At 39.9% G+C, this 21,986-nt stretch overlaps 2 protein-coding genes and 1 long non-coding RNA gene across 13 annotated transcripts in view, besides 1 other annotated feature; 1 reads left to right on the forward strand and 2 right to left on the reverse strand.

The window, feature by feature from the left end:
• Positions 1–14,591, reverse strand: part of OR11A1 (olfactory receptor family 11 subfamily A member 1) — a 31,568-nt gene extending 16,977 nt beyond the window's left edge. Inside the window, exon 1 of the mRNA NM_001394828.1 lies at positions 14,507–14,591. The gene's annotated coding sequence lies outside the window, so the exon portion shown is untranslated. The remainder of the gene's footprint in view (positions 1–14,506) is intronic.
• On the reverse strand, positions 23–15,921 carry LOC105379641 (uncharacterized). Its single transcript, XR_002956335.1, has 2 exons — positions 15,842–15,921; positions 23–91 (listed from the first exon to the last, which is right to left on the reverse strand). It is a non-coding gene; the product is annotated as an uncharacterized LOC105379641 (long non-coding RNA).
• Positions 5,160–5,696: an enhancer, noted in NCBI's record as "NANOG hESC enhancer chr6:29415417-29415953 (GRCh37/hg19 assembly coordinates)". NCBI's record gives its function as "activates a minimal SCP1, AML or CMV promoter by ChIP-STARR-seq in primed H9 embryonic stem cells {active_cell/tissue: H9 hESC(primed)}" and the evidence as "EXISTENCE:reporter gene assay evidence [ECO:0000049][PMID:30033119]".
• OR2H1 (olfactory receptor family 2 subfamily H member 1) lies at positions 14,675–21,848 on the forward strand. Of its 11 annotated transcripts, none has more exons than XM_047418641.1 (6): positions 14,675–14,727; positions 15,974–16,089; positions 16,795–16,889; positions 16,993–17,704; positions 18,396–20,253; positions 21,269–21,848. In XM_047418641.1, exon 5 carries the CDS (start codon positions 19,290–19,292, stop codon positions 20,238–20,240), a length of 951 nt encoding a protein of 316 aa, XP_047274597.1. In that variant the 5' UTR covers positions 14,675–14,727; positions 15,974–16,089; positions 16,795–16,889; positions 16,993–17,704; positions 18,396–19,289; the 3' UTR covers positions 20,241–20,253; positions 21,269–21,848. The 11 variants fall into 11 exon arrangements, with proteins under 11 accessions (XP_047274597.1, XP_047274598.1, XP_016866228.1 ...); XM_047418642.1 differs by having other exon boundaries at positions 17,541–17,704; XM_017010739.2 differs by having other exon boundaries at positions 16,795–17,704.
• Positions 21,849–21,986: the final 138 nt, after the last annotated feature.

Here is a 21,986-nt window from a genome sequence, read left to right on the forward strand (position 1 = left end):
CAAACTTTCTATGTGCCTATTGCTCTTTGGCACTGTGGAGAATATCAAGTACATACAGGGTGGTGATTCTGTCCAGAGAGCACTTGCTGTCCTGTTAAGAAAGCACTGATTCTCATGAAACTATCAGAGAACAGTTTGCAAAGTAAGAAAACACTCAAAATGTAAAGCGAAAAGACAAAGGTGTTACTCCCTGTCCCCACCCCCCAAAAGGGGTTGTGTGGCCTTCCTCAAACTCATTTTATCAATGTGGAAAACCTCACAACTACTGCTCTTCAATTGAACAAAACTGCAATAGCGAGGAACAGCATTTAAGAAGGGTTGCCTAAAGGATTGTCAAAACAGCTTTTCCTCTGATAATTTAAAATCTAAATCTTATCCCCAAGCTAAAGCAGATGAGCACAGAGCTACACATTTAAAATGCTGAAATATTTCCACTTCCTACATATCTCCATCAACTCATCTTTCCTAGAACTGGTCTTGCTAAAGAGTGTTTTGGCATTAAGCCATTGGTTTACATTGAGAAAGATTACAAGAAGCAACATTATGAAACTCTCAGAGGGATCATTTTTCTCATATCTCAGTGATAGGAATCACTGTATTTTTCCTGTCATATAAGCAATAACATTTCCTCACAGTTTTATGGAAGTACAATTGGCATATGACAAATTGTACATGTTTAAGTGTGCAATTTGATAAGTTTTGACCCATGTATGCACCATGACATTATAGGCGCAATCACGAAATGAACATATCCAGCCCCCGTGCTCCCTCACACTCCATTGTAATCTCTCTCTTTCACCCCTCCCTGCACTCCTCATTCCCAAGCAACCTCTGATCTGCTTCCCAGCACTATATTTTTCTTTTTTCAGAGTTTTATATAAATGAAATTATAAAATATGTACTCTTTTTAGTCTGACTTATATTTGGAGATTTGGCCATGTTGTGGTGTGTACAGCAGCCATTCCTTTTCATTTCTGAGTGATACTCCATTGTATAGATATGACATAATTTGTTCATCCATTCACCTGCTGAAGGAAATTTGGGTTGTTTTCACAATTTTTTATTTATTCACCTGCTAAAGGAAGTTCAGGTTGTTTCCAGTTTTTGGTTCATAGAATGAAGGTTCTATGAACATTTGTGTACAAAGTCTTTGTATGCTTTCATTTCTCTGGGGTAAATACATAGATGTGAAATGGCTGCATCACATGGGAAGTGTATGTTTAATTTTTTAAGAAATTAAGTAATCACTTTTCCTCTTAACATGACAGCTAGCAAGTTTCCACCTGAATTTGTAACTCATCTCCAGGAAATGTGCAATTCCTCACGATATATTTTTGAGATATCTAGTTTCTGGTCTCACTTGCTGTTGTTGTTGTTGTTCTATTCTACCTTTTTCTTTGTCCAGTCTCTCTCATCCTTATTTTCTGTACATTTATGTAACCCAGCACATTAGTCTTTCTGGAGCAAGACTTAGAGCCACCAATCAGTAATTAAAAAAAAAAAAATAGACAGGGGAAAGTATTGAATGGAAAATCCCTGGTTATATGGTTTGGCTCTATGTCCCCACCCAAATCTCATCTTGTAGCTCCCATAATTCCCATGTGTTGTGGGAGGGACCTGGTGAGAGATGATTGAATTATGGGGGTGGATGTTTCCTGTGCTGTTCTTGTGATAGTGAATGGGTCTCACATGATCTGATGGTTTTAGAAATGGGAGCTGCCCTACACAAGCTCTCATTTTTCCTGCTACTATCCATGTAAGATGTGATTTGCTCCTCCTTGCCTTCCACCATGATTGTGAGGCCTCCCCAGTCATGTGGAACTGTAAGTCCAATAAACCTCTTTGTTTTGTAAATTGCCCAGCCTTGGGTAAGTCTTTATCAGCAGTGTGAAAACAGACTAATACACCTTGGTAAAGATTGAAGACATGGGTTGTGATCTCTACTCCGTTACTAAAACTTTACAGGACCTAGAGCAAACTCTTTGCATCATCTTTTTGGTTTTCAATTTCATCATCAATAAACATAAAGGCTAAATCAAATGAGCTCTGGATTGAGTTCCAGATCCACTATTCTGTGCTTATTTGTCCCAAGGACTATATGCTTCTTATAGCTGATACTCTCACAAAGAACCAGAAGGAAGATTGCAGCAAATGCTCTTTCTCCACCATAGATAGCTACCAAGGGACCTTGAACTACATTAATCCTGGGCAATATAAGCACAGTCATTGGTTTTCAAGACAAACACCACTCAAAAGCTAGGGAGAGTCCATCAGTGATCCCCATATTGAGTCTTCCCCCACTGTATTCTACCTTCCTGAACCTCACATCTCCCTTACTCACACCTGCCATTGCCCCTGAGCAAAACTTGACCTGCTTCTTGAAATCCCACTGCTCTGTCCCTAATATTTCCTCCTACCAACCTTTCTCCCTGACACTCCCTTCCTCAACTTCCCTAATCCCATGGGACCCACTCACTATAGTGCACCCCAGCTCCTGATGGTATCTGCTACCAGAAGTATCCTCATTCTTTCTTTCTTTTTTTTTGACAGGATTTTACTCTTGTTGCCCAGGCTAGAGTGCAGTGGCACGATCTTGGCTCACTGCAACCTCTGCCTTCTGGTTTCAAGCGATTCTCCTGCCTCAGCCTCCTGAGTAGCTGGGATTACAGGAGCCTACCACCATGCCCAGCTAATTTATGTATTTTTAGTAGAGACGGGGTTTCACCATGTTGGCCAGGCTGGTCTCGAACTTCTGACCTCATGATCCACCTGCCTTGGCCTCCCAAAGAGCTGGGATTACAGGCGTGAGCCACTGTGCCCAGCCAGTATCCTCATTCTTTAGCTTTGCAGAACTGAAGTAAGAAGTGACTGTGGCATCAGGGAGGGAGGGTAGAAGTCAGATGGAAGGGAAGGGAGAAGGAGAGAAAGAAGAAACAGAGGCAGGCTGAAGAACTGAGCAGAGAAAAGAGAAAGAACAAAAAAGACCTCAGAGGAAGACTCACCGGCTCACAAGGAAAGCCATCTCTGTGCATCCCAGGCCAATCTCTTCACAGGGCTTGGAGAAACCTCCCAACCAGAGCTCACTCCCACAGTCTATGCTCACTGCTTCCCTGCATCAGCTCCTCCTGTGGCAGCATGGTCCCCCTGCGTTTCTGCTCCCCACTGAGCTCTCTGGGATTCACAAATCAGTGCCCTAGGGAGGGCTTGGAGAGCCTAGCACGTGGGGATCTTACACAGGGGCCAGGAAAGGGATGTAGGACTCAGGAAGAGACACTGAACAAAGGCTGTGGCTCAGTCCTGGAAATGGGAGCGTGTGCTTGTCCATTGCCAGCCTCTCTGCCTCTCTAGGTTGTGTGCCCTCACTGGCCTTAACTCTTTCCAGTCAGGGAAGACTAGGAAAGAGTTGGAAGAGGAAATATTGTAGAAGAAAGAAGAGAACTCAGGTACATCAGGGCCACCAAGAAACAGGGGCTCTGGGTCTCCCAGGGACATAAGGAGAAGGATTAGGAGCTGACCAGGCTTGCTACACAAAAGATTCCAGGGTTGATCCTCTGAGAGTTGAGAAAAACAGAAAGTGGGATCTCAGTGCAAACTTCAAGCTTCAAAGATGCCACCCATCATCTATTCAACTTTTTTTTTCTTTTGGCTAACCCTTTACACTTCTTTCAAGTCTGCGAATAATTATCAAGTTCCCACAGTGTGCCTTATTCTACATAGTGCTGGCAATCTGGTCAACTTCCTTTGTATTTCTCCTCTGCTCAGCTTTTCAGTGGATCCTCTTCATTCTCCTTCATTCTCACTGCAGCCCAGACCCACTTCCTCCCTTCCCTGAGCTTCCCTTGCCTATCTCCCTCCTCATCACCCAATCCCATTTCCTGCAAGAAGAGGCAATATTATTAATCTGTCTCATCTACCATAACCACCACCTGGTTTGTGCAATAGCATTTTCTGGATGTTTCCTCTCCTGGCAGCCAGGACTGACAATGTCACCTGCCAGGGGCCTGGAAAGCCAAGCCACAACCTTCTTAACCAATTAGAGGCACTGCAGAGAAGCAGCAGGAGTCAGGGCACTTGCACCCAAGAATGATAGATATATTTATTCACCACATATGTATGGATATAGTTAGAGAAACAAGCCTCAAGGCACAACGATTGACTGAGGTTAGACATTCGGCCACTTGAGAGAATGAGGAGGTGGAAGCACAGAAGTTAAAAGTCATCTCTCTCCCATTTGCTTCAACCTCAGCATGCCTGAAAAAAACATGGTTGATAATATACCAGTCAGTGACCAAGCCCTAATGAAATGACTGACTTACCAATACTGACTTCTCAGGAGGCTGATTTAGAGCCAAAGTAACTGCTGAGTTCTGAATAAGCAGCACACCTGGTCTGCATAATAAGATCCATTTTGCAATCACCCTCTTCAGAAAGCCAAATAATAGGTCAAAAGGTGGTTTAGAACCCAAGCAGCGGAAATAACACAGTTGAGGACTCTGTCGACCATAGGCACCCTGATGGACCTAAATAAATTACTCAACTTTTCACGAGAATATTTTACCTAATAACTGGAACTTATCATCCAGAACAATGTTTTCTGCCTCTTTGTTTTTCAGTTCATGATATTCCTGTGGACTGGCTTTACTCCTAATTTCCGACCCCAATAAGATCCTGGTCTAGTTCTTGGTATCTAGACCTAATTCCCCATTTGCATAAAAGAATACAAATGATAAACATAGAAACCCTGACCATCCTTGACTCCAAGGGTAAAAATACTGCCCTAGGCAATCATGATGCCTCTTATTTACTGCCTTTCAAATAGAAACTTTCTAAAGCAGCCATTGGGAAATAGTTCATTTTTGCAATGGACCACAGATACCTATACACATTGGGCTTATCATTTTGATCTTTATTCAGCTCCTAAAAATAGTCAATTTGAAAAATGGGGTTTGCATTGACAGTTTTATATTATTGATGCCAATTTGGAATTTTATACTTGATAATATTTATTTGTTGAATGAATTTGAACGAGTGGTAGAAGACTCTTCTGGCTGGAGCACTTTTAAGTCTTGCACTAGCATGGGTCTGGAAATGAACTGAAGGAGGACTAGAGATAAGTACAGGGGTGCGTCCCAATTGTGAATGAGAATGCAGGCCATATACTCTTTGGAGAATCACCATTATGGGCCCTCTGGCAGTATAAATGAGGCCATTGTAGAGTTATTCTTCTGTATTATCCAAAGAGAGGACCTAAAACAAATTAGTGAAATAAATACTGTAGGATTTCTGCTAGATGATGAGGCTTTTAATTCTTCCTGTTTCTGGGATGGCCTGGCTGGGCCTCCTTAGGAACTCAGCTCATTCCCCATTCCTCCTTGACACTGGATATGCATTCTTTGCATTCCTTGGCTTTCTCTCTGGTGTTCTATAGAAAGTAAATGAGTCACAGTTCCTTCAGTTCTTTCTTTTAGCCAGTCTATAGCACTCTACTGGTCATCAAAAAAGATCCAAAAGTGATCAACATGACCCTTTCTTTTTTTTTTTTTTTTTTTTTTTTGAGAAGGAGTCTAGCTCTGTCGCCCAGGCTGGAGTACAGTGGTGTGATCTCGGCTCACTGCAACCTCCGCCTCCTGGGTTCAAGCGATTCTCCTGCCTCAGCCTCCCAAGTAGTTGGAACTACAGGTGTGCGCCACCACACCCAGCTAATTTTTGTATTTTTAGTAAAGATGGGGTTTCACCAAGTTGGCCAGGATGGTCTCGATCTCTTGACCTCATGATCTGCCCACCTCGGCCTCCCAAAGTGCTGGGATTACAGGCGTGAGCCACCACACCCAGCCACACGACCCTTTCTAAGGAAGTGAAGATGGCACATGGAGACCAAGTACAGAAAGGACTACTGGGGGTCTTGGATGGCCCTCCAATGCTGTTGTCTCTCCAGTTCCTCTTGGATAATTCTGGTGTCCATGAATTATTATGTTGCCACATTTGGATGCCCCATAAGGGTCACTTGAGAAAATCATGAAATCTGGGAAAGGAAGGGCAAGTCATAGAATCCTGCCACTATAGAATAATGTCTGACAACCAAGTGATACATTCTGTTTAAGTAGGCACCAAACTGTCGGCAAAAGCCCCATTTTCGAGTTGGCCAGTTCTGGCAATTTTCTGTGTCCATTCTGCATGCCACTCAACTCCTCTAATGAATTCTTATTCCTTTTCAAGCCTTCTGTATTCCTTCTTATCATACTGGACACTTTGACCTCTGGTGTCCTAGAACTCCTGCTTCCCATGACTTCCATCTCCAATTCCAATAAACACCTTCTTTTTAAAAATTTCCTGATATTACCCAGTAGCTCTCATCCCTATTTCCCTTTGAAGTACTCATGTTTTTTATGATCCCTTCTCCCAACACTTTTCTTGCCTTCAATGTATTTTTAATGACTGGTGACCTCTTACCTCTCCTTCTTTTACTTTAACCTCTAACTTCTCCTAATCAATATGCCTTAAAACTCTTTCAGTGAAGGCAAAATGATGAAGAAAGTAGAAATATCAGTGGTTTCCAGAGGTTACAGCAGGAGTATGGGGTCAGAGAAGGAATGATGAATAGAAAGCACAGAGAACCTTGGGGCAGTCACACTATTCTGTATGTACTAGGATTCACTTGTCCAAACACATAGAATATATAGTACCAAGAGTGAGTCCTGAAGTAAACAATGGACGTTGGGTGATAATGATATGTCAGTGTAAGTTTATCAGTTATAACAAATTACCACTCTAATATGGGATGTTGTTAGTAGGAGAGTCCACCTAGGGAGGAAGGGCAGGAGGTATACAGAAAACCTCTCTACTCTCTGTTCAGTTTTACTATTTAAAGAAAAGGAAAGAAGAAGAAAACTTCAAATACCTCCCTATAATCCTATACTAAATGATACTCTAGCTATCTTGCCCCCTCTTAATTACCAGAAGTTTCTAATCTCTACATATGTTAAGTACTCAAAAAATATTTCAAAAAATCAAATATCAAAAATAAATTACTCAAGCTACGTCTCACAAAAAAGTATCTTTCTTTCCCAGTTATGATTTTTCTTCCTTCTTCTGATATCCTCACAACTGAACATTTCCTTCGAATACACCCACCCACCCATAAATGACCAATCTTTCTCTTTTTTTTGTTGTTTTGGAGATGGAGTCTCGCTCTGACTCCCAGGCTGGAGTTCAGTGGCATGATCTCGGCTCAATGCAACCTCCACCTCCCAGGTTTAAGCAATTCTCCTGCCTCAGCCTCCAGAGTAGCTGGGACTACAGGCATGCACCACCACGTCCAGCCAATTTTTGTATCTTTAGTAGAGATGGGGTTTTTCCATGTTGGCCAGGCTGGTCTTGAACTCCTGACCTCAGGTGATCTGCCTGCCTCAGCCTCCCAAAGTGCTAGTATTACAAGCCTGAGTCACCGTGCCCGGCCCAAATGACCATCTTTCTTACCACTCATCCACAAAGCTCACAAAACGAGAAGCTGCTCAAAACACTGAGATGCCCCTCTAGGCTGGTAACAGCGTGACTTAGAATAAGTCCTCCAACTTTTCTAGCTTTCTCACCGAAAAATGGGCCTGTGGCAGCACAGTTTTATGAGTAACTAAGATATGGGATGTAGAAAGACCCTAGAAGAGGAAAAAAAACACAACAATGGTCATTGTTAAAACAGGGGACTACATTTGTCCTTGGTTCCACCACTGTCCCACAGCCCCAGCTGGTAGTTTGGCTTCTCCCATGCAGCCTCCCTCTTAGGCCCAACCATAGTATCAAAACTCTCAACAGCTATCCCAGACCTGCTGGGTCATCCCTCACAACAGAAACTCAGTGTTTGGGTAGAGTGGAGAGGCTTGTAGTGATCTTAACTTTCCTGAGAATGCTCAGCCTAATTATGTCCCGGGTATAGAATCCAACCTCATCCTTGAAAAACTGAAAGCTGTCCACAGCTATAATCCTAAAATATTTTATTGGAATCTTAAAAGCAGACATATGTTCATTACAACATCCACTGCTCTGTTAAGTACTCCATCTGGCATGGCACAGAATATGGCAACAATGTCCAAGCTGAGAGACAAATCAACAGTGCAATTACATTCACAATAGCCACACACACACACACAATACCTAGGAAAGCAGCTAGACAGAGAGATGAAAGACCTCTACAACAAGCAAGCATTACAAAACACTGCTGAAGGAAATCAGAGACAACACACACAAAAAATGGAAAAAACATTCCATGTTCATGAATAGGAAGAATCCGTATTATCCAAATGGTTATATGACCCAAAGTAACTTACAGATTCAATGCTATTCCTATTAAACTACCCATGACATTTTTCACAGAACTAGAAACAACTATTCTAAAATTCATATGTAACCAAAAAAGAGCACAAATAGCCAAAGCAATCCTAAGCAAAAAGAACAAAGCTGAGGACATCACATTATCCAACTTCAAGCTATACTACAAGGTTACAGTAACCAAAATAGCATGGTACTGTTACAAACACAGATACATAGACCAATGGAACAGACCAGAGAACCCAGAAATAATGCCGCACACCTACAACCATCTTATCTTCAACAAAGTCAACAAAAATAAGCACTCACTATTCAATAAATGGTGCTGGGCTAACTGGCTAGCCGTATTAGGAAGATTGAAACTGGACCCTTTCCTTTCACCATATGCAAAAGTCAACTCGAAGTAAATTAAAGATTTAAAAGTAAAACCTAAAACTATAAAAACCTTGGGAGAAAATCCAGCAAATACCATTCTGTACATACAAATGGGTGAAGATTTCATGATAAAGTTGTCAAAAGTAATGGAAACAAAAACAGAAATAGACAAGTGGAACTTAATTAAACTAAAGAGCTTCTGCACAGCCAAAGAAACCATCAAGACAGTAAATAAACAGCCTACAGTATGGGAGAAAATGTTTGCAAACTATGCATCTGACAAAAGTCTAATATCCAGAGCTTATAAGGAACTTAAAGAGAAAAAAAATTTTTTTTAAATGGGCAAAGGACATGAACAGACACGTCTCAAAAGAAGACATACATGTAGCCAAGAAGCACATGAAAAAAATGCCCAATATCACTATTCATTAGAGAAATGCAAGTGAAAACCACAGTGAGATACCATCTCATATCAGTCAGAATGACTCAAAAAATAACAGATGCTGGAAGCATCGTGGAGAAAAAAGGAATGCTTACACACTGCTGCTGAGAATGTATGTTAGCTCATACATGCTGCTGAGAATGTATGTTGAAAGTGGTTTGGAGATTTCTCAAAGAACTTAAAACTGAACTGCCATTTGACCCAGCAATCTCATTACTGGAAATATACACGAAGGAATATAAATTATTCTACCATAAAGAGTCATGTATGTGTATGTGTTCACAATAGCAAAGACATGGAATCAACCTAAATACCTATCAACAGTGGACTGGAGAAGAAAAATGCATGGTACTTATATACCATGGAATACTATACACCCATGAAAAATGAAATCATGGCCTTTGCAGCAACATGGATCCTGATGGAGACCATTATCCTAAACAAATTAAAGCAGGATTGGAAAACCAAATGCTGCATGTTCTCACTTGTAAGTGGGAGCAAAACATTGAATACACATGACCACAAAGAAAGTAACAATAGACACCAGGGCCTACTTGAGTTGGAAGAATGGCAGGATGGTGAGGGTCAAAAAACTACCTATTGGTTACTGTGCTCACTACCTAGGTGACAAAATCATTTGTACACCAAACCCCAATGACACGCAATTTACCCGTGTAACAAACCTGCACCTGTGCCCCTTGAAACTAAAATAAAAATTAGGGGAAAAAAAGGAGAAGAGAGATAAAAGGGCAAACAAAAAAATTGTTCAAAAAATGTTGGCAAAATTTTTTCAAATTCGATAAAAATAGCAATCCACATTATCAATACCACATCTACATACATCATAAACTGAGAAAAACAAAGATTTAAAAAGAAAAATCTGAAAACCCGCTGAAGTGGTAGAGACATATTGCATAATAAGGAATAACAATAAAAATGACTGCCAACATCTCAACAGAAACAAAGGGAGTCAGAAGGCTATGAATTATCTTTCAAATGTGAAGAGAAAAAAAATCTGCCAACTTAGAATTACCCAGTGGGGGAAAATAATCTTTCTTAAATGAAGGCAAAATAAAGCCATCTGAAATTAAAAAGAAGCTGAGAAAATTTGTTGCCAGAAGATACTCACTAAAAGAATAAAAAAGGATAAAGGAAGTTTTTCAGGCTATAGAGAAATTATAATATTTGGAGTTTCAAATCTATGAGAAGGAACGAAAAACTTTCAAGATTGGAAACATAAAAGTGTATATAAAAGTTATCTTCTTCCTTTTCTTAAATTCATTAAAAGTCTAAAAATAATGATAATATATTACAAGGGTTGTAACATATGTAAAGTAAAACACGGCAATAGCTGCACAAAGAATGGGAGGAATTATAACTAATTTTATTATTATCAGATTTTTATATTCTATGTTAAAGGTATTGTATTAAGTCAGAGTAGACTCTTATAAGTTCAGGATCCATATGGTATCCCCAAGAAAAAAACTTGCACTTTAAATATAAAGACAGCTTAATCATAAATACACTTATAGATTAAAAATAAAATTATAATATAAATTATGAAATAAATAATAAATATAAATTAATATATATACATTAAAAATAAAATTCACCAGATATGGTGAATTAAAGAGGACAGCAAATCCTTCCTTCCTCCACCTCACAAATAAATTATAAAACCAGAAAAATTGTCAAAAACAATCATTTCAGGTGTCTGGAAATAAACCAAGGCAAATAATAAATTGAGAACCACTTTTTCATAAAGCAGTGCTAGAAGCTTAGGTAAGAATCATAGGTAACTGTGCCTGTCCTGTGAAAAGTGCTCCAGTACTACTCCAACTTAGTTGATGGTAGTTTTGCCAGTCAGGAATGGCCATGAAAATCAACAATTACACTATTAAAGAGGGTTGAGATGATTTGGAACAAAGATAAAAACTCATGCCTAGGGTTTATGTCAGTAAAAGTAACAAACTCAATCGTGTTTAAGGCTCAGGTATCCAGAGGTTACAGTTTTAATGAGGCGAACAGTGAACCTATCAGAAATGTAATGGGAAGATGCTGGGAATTAGATAGCTATAGAAGAATTAGATAAGATCTCTACACATTCCTGGCTGACTGGGAAACTACAGGTATGTACAGAAGAAACATGAGAGAAACCAGCATGAAGTAAAATCCAAGACAAACTTAAAAGCTCTCTGAATTTGAATATGGTCCCAGCACAAAGGCAGATGCATTAGCAGAGAATGGAAGCCTTTTGAAATCAAAAGTATTTGACCAAAACCTTCACCCAATCATTGACTGAACACTAAGCTGTGCAAGAACAAGGGAAACTTCTGGGATCCAAGATTTTAAAATATGAATTTTTAAGAGCTAGGTTGAGACCATGGAAGCCATAAATGGTGGAAGATACACAGTCCACAGATTATGTCCAATAATGTTAACAAAATAATTCTTAGAAAAAAATAAGAATATAAACTTGTCAATATAGTATCTAAAATGAGACATGCAAAGAAACAGGAAAGTATAATCAAGTCTTAGAGAAAAGACTGCAGTTAATGGAAACTGACTGTAAGTGGGACTGCTGTTGAATTTAGCAAACAGAGATTCAAAACATCTAATATAAATAGTTAAATTAAAACCATTTTTAAAGAATTCATGGACAATATAGTCTTTCATTGGGTAGGGAAGATCCACTATCAATATAGATGGGTATCATCCAATCAGCTGGGGCCCAGATGGAAAAAAAAGGCATGAAAGGATGCTCTTTATCATTGGTTATTAAGAACATGAAATTAAACACAATACTTACAAGTCTACTAGAATGACTATAATAAGAAACTGATGGTATAAGATGTTGACAAAGATGTGAAATACTGATTAAGTGTTGGCAAGAATATGTCAAAATTGACAGAGCCACTTTGGAAAACAATTTGGCAGGTTTTTTATAAAAAAAATTTACTATACAACCCAATAATTCCACTGTCAGGTAATATCCAAGACAATTTAAATCATATGCCTTCAATGACTCTTCATAAGAACATTATTAGTAACACCCAAAAAGTAGAAACAATCCAAATGTCATCAACTGGTGAGATCAGTGGAACTGAATAGAAAGTGCAGAAATAGAGCCAAACACATAAGATCTATTGATTTTACACAAAGACACCAAGATAATTCAATACAGGAAACGATATTCTTTGCAACAAATGGTACTGGAGGAACCAGATATAGGTATAAAAACTGTACCATTATGATTTGTTTAAAAAAGCAGCCATTTTTTTTATCGCTTCTCGGCCTTTTGGCTAAGATCAAGTGTAAAAAAGCAGCCATTTTCATAATATTTTATTATATGTATGAAAATGAATTATGACTCCTATATCACAACATACAAAAAAATTAACATGGGTCATATAAATAAACATATAAGCTAGAAATTAAAAGCTTCTAAAGAAGAACATAAAAGAAAATATTTATGACCTTAGAATAGGTAAAGATTTCTTAGGATTCAAAAAGCACTTAACTGCAAAAAGATAATTGATGAATTTTGAGTTAATCAAACTTAAAAGCTTCTTCTCCTTTGAAGACGCCATTCAAATTGAAACATCAAACCACAGACTGAAAAAATAGCACAGTGCATTTATTTGACAAAGGACTTTTATGCAGAATATATGAAGAACTCATATACTTTTATCATAAAAGGAAACACTATAAAATATGGACAAATGACTTGAACAGACACCTCACAAAAGAATATATAAATGACCAATGAAAAGATGCTCAATGACTTAGTTGTTGGATAATTGTAAATTTAGAAACTACTGTGAGATTAATAAGTCTAGAGATCTAATGTATAGCCTGAGGACTACAGTTGACAACATTGTATTATATACTGGAAATTTCTAAGAGAATAGATTTTAAGTACTCTTACCACAAGAAAAGTAACTGTGAGTTGATAGATATGTTAATTGGCTTGACCATAGTAATCATTTAACTATGTATATCAAAACATCATTTGGGAGGCCGAGGCGGGTGGATTGCCTGAGCTCAGGAGTTCGAGACCAGCCTGGGCAACATGGTGAAACCCCCTCTCTACTAAAACACAAAAAAGTGGCCGGGTGTGGCAGCATGCGCCTGTAATCCCAGCTACTTGGGAGGCTGGGGCAGGAGTATCGCTTGAACCCAGGAGGCGGAGGTTTTAGTGAGCCGAGATCGTGCCATTGCACTCCAGCCTAGGAGACAGAATGAGACTTGTCTCAAAAAAAAAAAAAAAAAAAAGGAAATCCTGTATATCCTAAGCATATACATATACAACAAAAAATTTTCAAAATTAGCCTGGCTTGGTGGCTTACACATGTAACTCAGCACTTTGGGAGGCCTAAGCAGGTGGATCACCTGAAATCAGGAGTTCGAGATCAGCCTGGTCAATGTGGTGAAACACCGTCTCTACTAAATATACAATAATTAGCTGGGCATGGTGGTACATGTCTATAATCCCAGCTACTCAGGAGGCTGAGGCAGGAGAATCACTTGAACCTGGGAGGCGGAGGTTCCAGTGAGCCGAGATCACACCACTGTACTCCAGCCTGGGCGACAGAGTGAAACTCAGTCTAAAAAAAAAAAAAGCCGGGCACGGTGGCTCACGCCTGTAATCCCAGCACTTTGGGAGGCCGAGGTGGGCGGATCACGAGGTCAGGAGATCGAGACCATGGTGAAACCCCGTCTCTACTAAAAATACAAAAAATTAGCTGGGCGTGGTGGCGGGCGCCTGTAGTCCCAGCTATTCGGGAGGTTGAGGCAGGAGAATGGCGTGAACCCGGAAGGCAGAGTTTTCAGTGAGCCGAGATCGCGCCACTGCACTCCAGCCTGGGCAACAGAGCAAGACTCCGTCTCAAAAAAAAAAAAATTAAATTAAAAAGCTATAAAAGCTATAATGAGATATCACCTGATATCCACTAGAATGTCTATCACATGACCCTGAAATTCCACAAATAGGTTTTGACCAAAGAGAAATGAAAATACACATACACAAAAGACTTGTACATGAAAGTTTATAGCAGATTGATTCACAACAGCAAAAACTGGAAACCACCCCACACTGTTTCTCTATTACAGCATAAAAAGTTATCCCAAAACTTAATGGCTTCAAACAACAAATATTTATTATCTCACAGTTTCTATGGGCCAGCAATTCAGAAGCAGCTAAATAGTAGCTGGTGATTCTAGCTTAGGATCTTTCTTTTAACTTTTTAAAAACTTTTTGTGAATACATAGTAGATGTATCTATTTTAGGATCTTTCTTGACATTGTAGTCAAGAAGTCAGCTGATTGTATTTCTAAGATTTGGATGAAGCTGAAGGATTCACTTACAAGATGTCCCAGTCACATGTTGCACGTTTTTAGTAGGGAGCCTTAGTTTCTCCCCATATGTGTGTTTCCATTCACTGCTAGGATGGCTTCCTCCAAAGTAAACAATCCACAAAGAAGAAGTCACAATGTTACTGTGACATAGTCTTTGATGTCACATCCCATCGTTTCTACCAGATTCTATTTGTTAAAACTGAGTCACTCAGTACAGCTCCCATGCAAAGGTAAGGGAAGTAGGCTCTACTTTGTGAAGGGGATATAAGAAAATTGGGGGCCATATTTTAAAACAACCACAAACCTGAATGTTCATCAACAAGTGAATGGATGAAAAAATTGTGATATATTTAGGCAAGAGAATACTACTCACTGATATTTTTAAAAAAGAATTGGACTATTGATACACAAAACAACAGGGATGATTCTCCAAACTGTGGTACAGAGCATAACACACCAAACACAAAGAGTATGTGCTGAATGAATCTTTTATGTGAAGTTCTGGAAAAAGCAAAACAAAATGATAGAAATCAGAGCAGTGGTTGCCTAGAGCATGGGGAGAATTATTGTAAATGGGCATGATGAAATTTCTGGAGTGATGGAAATGTTCTATATCTTCAGTAGGGTAATGGTTGTCTGGATGTATACATTTGTTCACATTCAGTGAATTGTCCATTAAAATATGTGCACTTCATTATGTAAATTATACCTTAATTTTAAAAAGAGAAAGGAAATAAACCAAAGTCAGGGGGGATTGAATGAGCACATTCGAGGCTTGAGAGGAAGGCTGGAAATATGGGACACTCAGAAGGTGTGGATCAGGAGAGAATAGTGCCCTTTTACTCCCCAGTGACACGGAGAAGCAGTGGTGACCTTTTTATATGCCAAAGGGAACTCAGTTGCTGGCACACTTCCTTTGAATCTTCACATTCCTTCTTAACCATTAGTAGCTGTGGCCAATTAGCTGTCTATAGGTTATGGGGCACCTAGTCTTGGCAGAATTAATGAGCTACTTCTCTCTATGGGATGGGAGTCTTGGGATTCCTCCCCCCATCATCTCACTATGCCTTTTTTTCTGCCTTTAATGTCACTAAAAGAGAGGTTAACTTACTGGATTGAGGAAAAGAAGTCGTTAGCAAGAGTTCCATAGTAAAGCGCTAACTCTAGCTCATGTGTCTGGCAGAGCAATGGTGGAATGTGGTTAGCGCATAGCTTCTTCAGCCAGCCCACCTGGGTTAAAATTTGGTCTTTGGTGCTTACTAGCTATACTTTCCAGAACAAGATATTCAACCTCTACATGTCTTCAATTATTGATCTGTAAGGGAAGGTAATAATAGTACCCACCTTTTGAAGTTATAAGGAGCCGTAAATATGAAGCGCTTTTTTGAGTGCCCATGGAAGTAAGCACTAGCAATCAATACTCTTAACTGAAATCCAAGTTCCAATAATCATCAAGAGTATAACATTCCTCTTTAGTTTGCTTTTAGTTCTCATTGTGAGATCACAAGTGGAGGCTCCAACCAGTCCAGAAGTTCCTTTCTATGGGGAAGCTGTGGCAGCAAGGCCGTGAAGAGAGTCTGACTTAATTGCAAGTAAGTCACAAGTTTATTCCCCTACAGCCCATCAATTTCCACATGTTCTTAAGACAGTTCTGAATCAAACAGGGTCTACAATCCTGGCACTGACACTCATTGGCAGGGTAACCCTGGGCAAGTTACTTAACCTCTTTGAGACTGTTTGTTCTTCTGCAGAGATATTAACTGTCTAGCAGGGTTCTTTTAAGAAGCAGATATTCCAGGAAATTATTTAGCACAGTGTTAGTATATAGGACATCAACAGATAGTAACTGTCAAAACTATAAGTGGTTATTATTATTGAACTGTAGGGCAGAATTTGTCTCATAACTTTGTAGCAGTTAGTACATGACTGGCTCTTTGAGGACCAAAAAAGAATAAATTAATGTGCTTCTGTGTGGAGTTAATGGGATGTAGGGAAAGTAGTGCTTGCCTATTATTGGTGTCAGAGAAAAGGACCAGAAGAAACAGGGTAAGGAAAAGGCATGTTATTAAAGATAGAAAATAGGAGAGTGCAGAGGGTCAAAGGAAGATATAAACTGAAGAGATTAAGAAAAAACATACAGTGAGACAAGTTGCCAAGAGAGTAAGAATGTAAGAAATGCTGCAGTTTATGGATGAATAAAACTCTGGACAATTGCTGAGACACAAAAGATATGAGGCTGCAAAGTTTAAAAAGGAACGATACATTTAAAATAATCAGAATAGTGTTTACTTCTTCAGTGGGAGAGAAGGAGATGTGATCAGGGAGGAGAACACAGAAGACTTCTAAGATACCAGTAATATTTGATCTGTTCTTAAATCAGGAGGAGATTCAGGTACACCATGTGTTTATTATTCCATAAAATCCATAGATGTGTTTTATATACTTTTTGTTTATATGATTTTTAAAAAATTAAGGGAACAAATCTTATCCTCAAGGAGAGACGTAATGATGGAGGAAGGAATATAGAAGGAGACAAAAAGGAGGGAGTCTTGATGAAAAGGGAGATGGGAGGCAGCTTTTAACACCAGACAGGGTCCTGTGATGCAGAGGTGATTGTGCCATCCCATAAAGTCCCAGGGCACTGTCTGCCAATGAGACCACCAACTTGCTTGCCCTAAATGGCCACATCCCCTAAACGGCCCTCCTGCCATTGTCTGTGCTCAGAAAACCCTCAGTTTCTGCCTCTTACCTGCCAGGGTGGTGCCGCATCCCACCCCCATCATTGAGCTTGCCTCATGTGTCTCAGCACAGTCTTTTACAGCAAAAATGCATGTCACCTCCTCCTAAAGGCTTTCCGTGGCCCACCCACCCAGATTCCTCCTTTATTGTGCAGACTCTTTCCTAACCCACACCTCATCTTAATTTATTTGCCTTCAATTCTGGGCGGCGGTGTTGGGGAGGGTCTCAATTTTCCCATGTATTTCCCAGTGTTTATTGAATACATGAGGCCATACTCTTCTAGTCTCTCTGCTTCTCATGCTAGGAACTGAACCGACCAGCCTATACTTTAAGGCTTGTTATTTCACTGACTAAGGAAAGGCTACTTAAGAGGGCAAGCTCAGACATACATAATCTGGAGTGGATCTTCCATGGGAAAACACGTATATAACAGAAATTATTGGCAAAACTATAAGTATGGTCTACAGAGTAAGTAATAATATTTTATTATTTATTTAGTTAGTTTTGAGACAGAGTTTCTCTCTCGTTGCCCAGGCTGGAGTGTAATGGCACGATCTCAGCTCACTGCAACTTCCACCTCCCAGGTTGAAACGATTCTCCTGCTTCAGCCTCCTGAGTAGCTGGGATTACAGACACCCACCACCACACCCCGCTAATTTTTTTTTTTTTTTTTTTTTTTTTTTGTAGAGACGAGGTTTCACCATGTTGACCAGGCTGATCTCAAACATCTGACCTCAGGTGATCCGCCCGCCTCAGCCTCCCAAAGTGCTGGGATTATAGGCGTGAGCCACCACACCCGGCCAATAATACTTTATCAATGTTGGCTTTCCTGTATTTAGTAACTGAGCTGTTTTTACACTAAAAAAAAATTCTATCTTAGAAACATGAAGAAGTGAAGAGGCATTATATATACAACTCACTGTTCAGTAGCTCAGGGTAAATATAATTGCATATGCAAAGATAAAGATGTAATGATAAAAATGTCAAGTGTTAGCACTTTACTAATATAGATAAAGAACATTCAGAAATTCTTTAAATTACTCTTAAAATTTGGGGGTATGAATTTTTATAAAAATAATGTTTTAAATCTTAAATAGTGAATAGAATTAAGAAAGTAACAAATTCTAATTCCTTCCTTTTTTTCTTTAAATTCTTCTAGATCCTGAATAATTTCTACTTAAACGTCCCAATATCAACTCTCTATTTTGCTATTGACATAATCTTATTTGAGAGGCAAAAAATTTTAAAAATTATATCATCTTTTTAATTTCTAAGCCCCAGAACAAGACAATTGGCAGCATTTTTTTCATGTCATTTTGCTACATTCTACATAATGTTAAGTTGAGGTTAGGGATTTTCATTTGTGGAGGAAGCTCTTACATTTAGTTTAATGAATCATAATTTTTTTAATGGAGAAGGAACAAAATACCTCATTGATTTTTCTATGAGTGGAGTTAATACACACAGCGGAGAAATCTCTTTGTTAATTCTACACTCTGCCTCTGATTGACACCTCTGCAAACAAAGATAAAGTAGATAAAACATGAATAATTCCAGGAAACTTATGCCCCAGAATACAGAATAATTTTGCATACATATGAATAGTAGGGCAATTCTATCAAATGATTCTTTTCTAATTCTTTATGGATGTACATAATGAAATATTCAGAACTACCACAACATTTAGAATAAGATAGAGCCTAACAATTTATTGTTGAATTAATGAAGATCGGTTAATTAATCCATGTTTTACATCAGCTTTCTTTGCCCTCAACCAGGAAGTCAGAGGCACCAATGTGAGGTTCCACCTGCTTTCCAGCACATTCTTGGTTTCCTCACTTCTGCTAGACAACGTTTGATCAGAAGGAACAGGGAACGAGAAGGAGCTGCTGGATGACGATAAGCCTGGGAAAGGGAGGCTGGGTGAGCAGAGACAGAAAAGAAACACCTACCTGCTGTGACCTCACAAACACCCAGGCTGAGTTTTGATAAGACAGGTTGAATCACACTGGGGTGACAGCCTCATCCCTCCAGGTACAAACAAGAACAGGCCATGGTTAACCAAAGCTCCCCCATGGGCTTCCTCCTTCTGGGCTTCTCTGAACACCCAGCACTGGAAAGGACTCTCTTTGTGGTTGTCTTCACTTCCTACCTCTTGACCCTGGTGGGCAACACACTCATCATCCTGCTGTCTGTACTGTACCCCAGGCTCCACTCTCCAATGTACTTTTTCCTCTCTGACCTCTCCTTCTTGGACCTCTGCTTTACCACAAGTTGTGTCCCCCAGATGCTGGTCAACCTCTGGGGCCCAAAGAAGACCATCAGCTTCCTGGGATGCTCTGTCCAGCTCTTCATCTTCCTGTCCCTGGGGACCACTGAGTGCATCCTCCTGACAGTGATGGCCTTTGACCGATACGTGGCTGTCTGCCAGCCCCTCCACTATGCCACCATCATCCACCCCCGCCTGTGCTGGCAGCTGGCATCTGTGGCCTGGGTTATGAGTCTGGTTCAATCGATAGTCCAGACACCATCCACCCTCCACTTGCCCTTCTGTCCCCACCAGCAGATAGATGACTTTTTATGTGAGGTCCCATCTCTGATTCGACTCTCCTGTGGAGATACCTCCTACAATGAAATCCAGTTGGCTGTGTCCAGTGTCATCTTCGTGGTTGTGCCTCTCAGCCTCATCCTTGCCTCTTATGGAGCCACTGCCCAGGCAGTGCTGAGGATTAACTCTGCCACAGCATGGAGAAAGGCCTTTGGGACCTGCTCCTCCCATCTCACTGTGGTCACCCTCTTCTACAGCTCAGTCATTGCTGTCTACCTCCAGCCCAAAAATCCGTATGCCCAAGGGAGGGGCAAGTTCTTTGGTCTCTTCTATGCAGTGGGCACTCCTTCACTTAACCCTCTCGTATACACCCTGAGGAACAAGGAGATAAAGCGAGCACTCAGGAGGTTACTAGGGAAGGAAAGAGACTCCAGGGAAAGCTGGAGAGCTGCTTAATATACTTTCGAAAGTAAGAAGAGTTTCTTCAAGATTTATGAACATGTTAAGTTTTCCAGACTACTACCCTTCCCACATACACCTGAGCCACTGTGGTGGGTCACAGTGTGGCTATGTTATCTATGAGAGGGAGAATGAGAAAGAGAGGGACAGAGAGATAAAAGAAATTGGGTGAGAGGAGATAGGTAGCTCCATAAGGCACACAAATTCAAATATTATCATTCCTATCACTGTCCATTCTTAATATTTCTATCCTCCATTCTGTTCTTTTTACTGTCATCACTTCTATAGATTTCCTAACTCCACCATGCCTATTTCTGGTTATATAATTGCTCTCCAATTGTCATGTCAGTGTAGGGGAACTACTCCATCATAGCATTCTGGACACCTTGCATGTATCTACGTAGGTCATGTAAGCAAAGGCTTGAAGAACAGCTAATCTGAGATTTAGAAGAATGCTTTTTGATCCTCCTGGAATATGAGAGGATGGGAGGCCCTTTAGAACCTGCCTCAATGCCATCTCTCACTCTCCTTCTTATATCCCTGGGAGTATGTCATGTGACAAGTCTTTACTGTCTCCCAGGTTTTGGATGGAGCATGGGGTTTTCTGCCCCACACCCTTTAGGATATAGCTGAAGAATATAATGAGGAATAGCTGGATTCTAGAACTGACTCCTCACCAGTGGTATATTCCACAACAGTGTCACAGTCGTCTGGCCCCTTTGGTTTCCGTGTCATCCTTTTTGGTGTGTAGGACAAGGAGCCAGGGAATTGGCACGTTTGGCTTTTACTTCTTTTTTATATGTAAATAATAAGCCATCTAAGTGTAAAAGTGGCTCATATCTTCTCCAGCCAAATCAGCTAGGCCATGGCCTTGCCTTGCTTCTCATGAGTGTGCTTGACAGTCATCACCGTCACTCTATCTTCATTTCTGGTTCTTACCGTGTTAGCTTAGTTCATTCAAGCTACTATCACAAGCTACACATAAATTGGGTGGTTTATAAATAACAAACATTTCTTTCTTACAGTTCTGGAGGCTGGAAACTCCAAGATTAAGGCAGATTTCATGCCTATTGAGGGCCTGCTTTCTGATTATAGAAGGTGACTTCTTGCTGTGCCCACACATGGTGAAAGGGACTACCAACTCTCTGGAGTCTCTTTTATGAGGGCACTAATTCCAATTATGAAGCCTCTTCCCTCATGACCTAATCACTGCCCAAAGGCCCCATGTTCTAATGCCATCATCTTGGTGGTTTAGGATTTCAACATATGAATTTTGGAAGGACATAAGCATTCAACCCCCTGCACATGTCTTCTTTCCTACTTCCTCAAGGTTCTTTCTGTCCAGTTGCTCCTTCTTCTATTGACCCTTTTTTGCCTTCTCTTTCTCCTTCACTGCCTCAAGTTACAGCCAGAGGAAAGGAGGAACTAAAACTTAGCAAATCTATAATCACATGCAAATACACAGAATGGATTGTTACAACCAAAATGCAGGCTCTATTGTTTTCAATTTAGCAGCCTTTCAAATGTATATGGTTCTGGCCACATTAAAGTTGCAAATAACACTTTTTTTGAGACTGAAATAAAGGTGAAATATTGGAAGGAAAAGTTTAATGTTTTATTTGTAGTATTTTTTTCCATTTTCCACTAAAGAGTCCAGAAAAAAAAAGCAAACATAATATAACCTTTGAGTTATAACAGAATATTTCAACAAGAACTTTGTTGCTATCAAGTAACCATATAGTA

Source organism: Homo sapiens, chromosome 6, assembly GCF_000001405.40.
Source record: "Homo sapiens chromosome 6, GRCh38.p14 Primary Assembly".
Classification (NCBI taxonomy): Eukaryota; Metazoa; Chordata; class Mammalia; order Primates; family Hominidae; genus Homo; species Homo sapiens.

What these genes read in the sequence shown, in the direction of transcription:
- OR2H1 (XM_017010739.2), top strand. Translation starts at nt 19,290, where the DNA reads ATGGTTAACCAAAGCTCCCCCATGGGCTTCCTCCTTCTGGGCTTCTCT.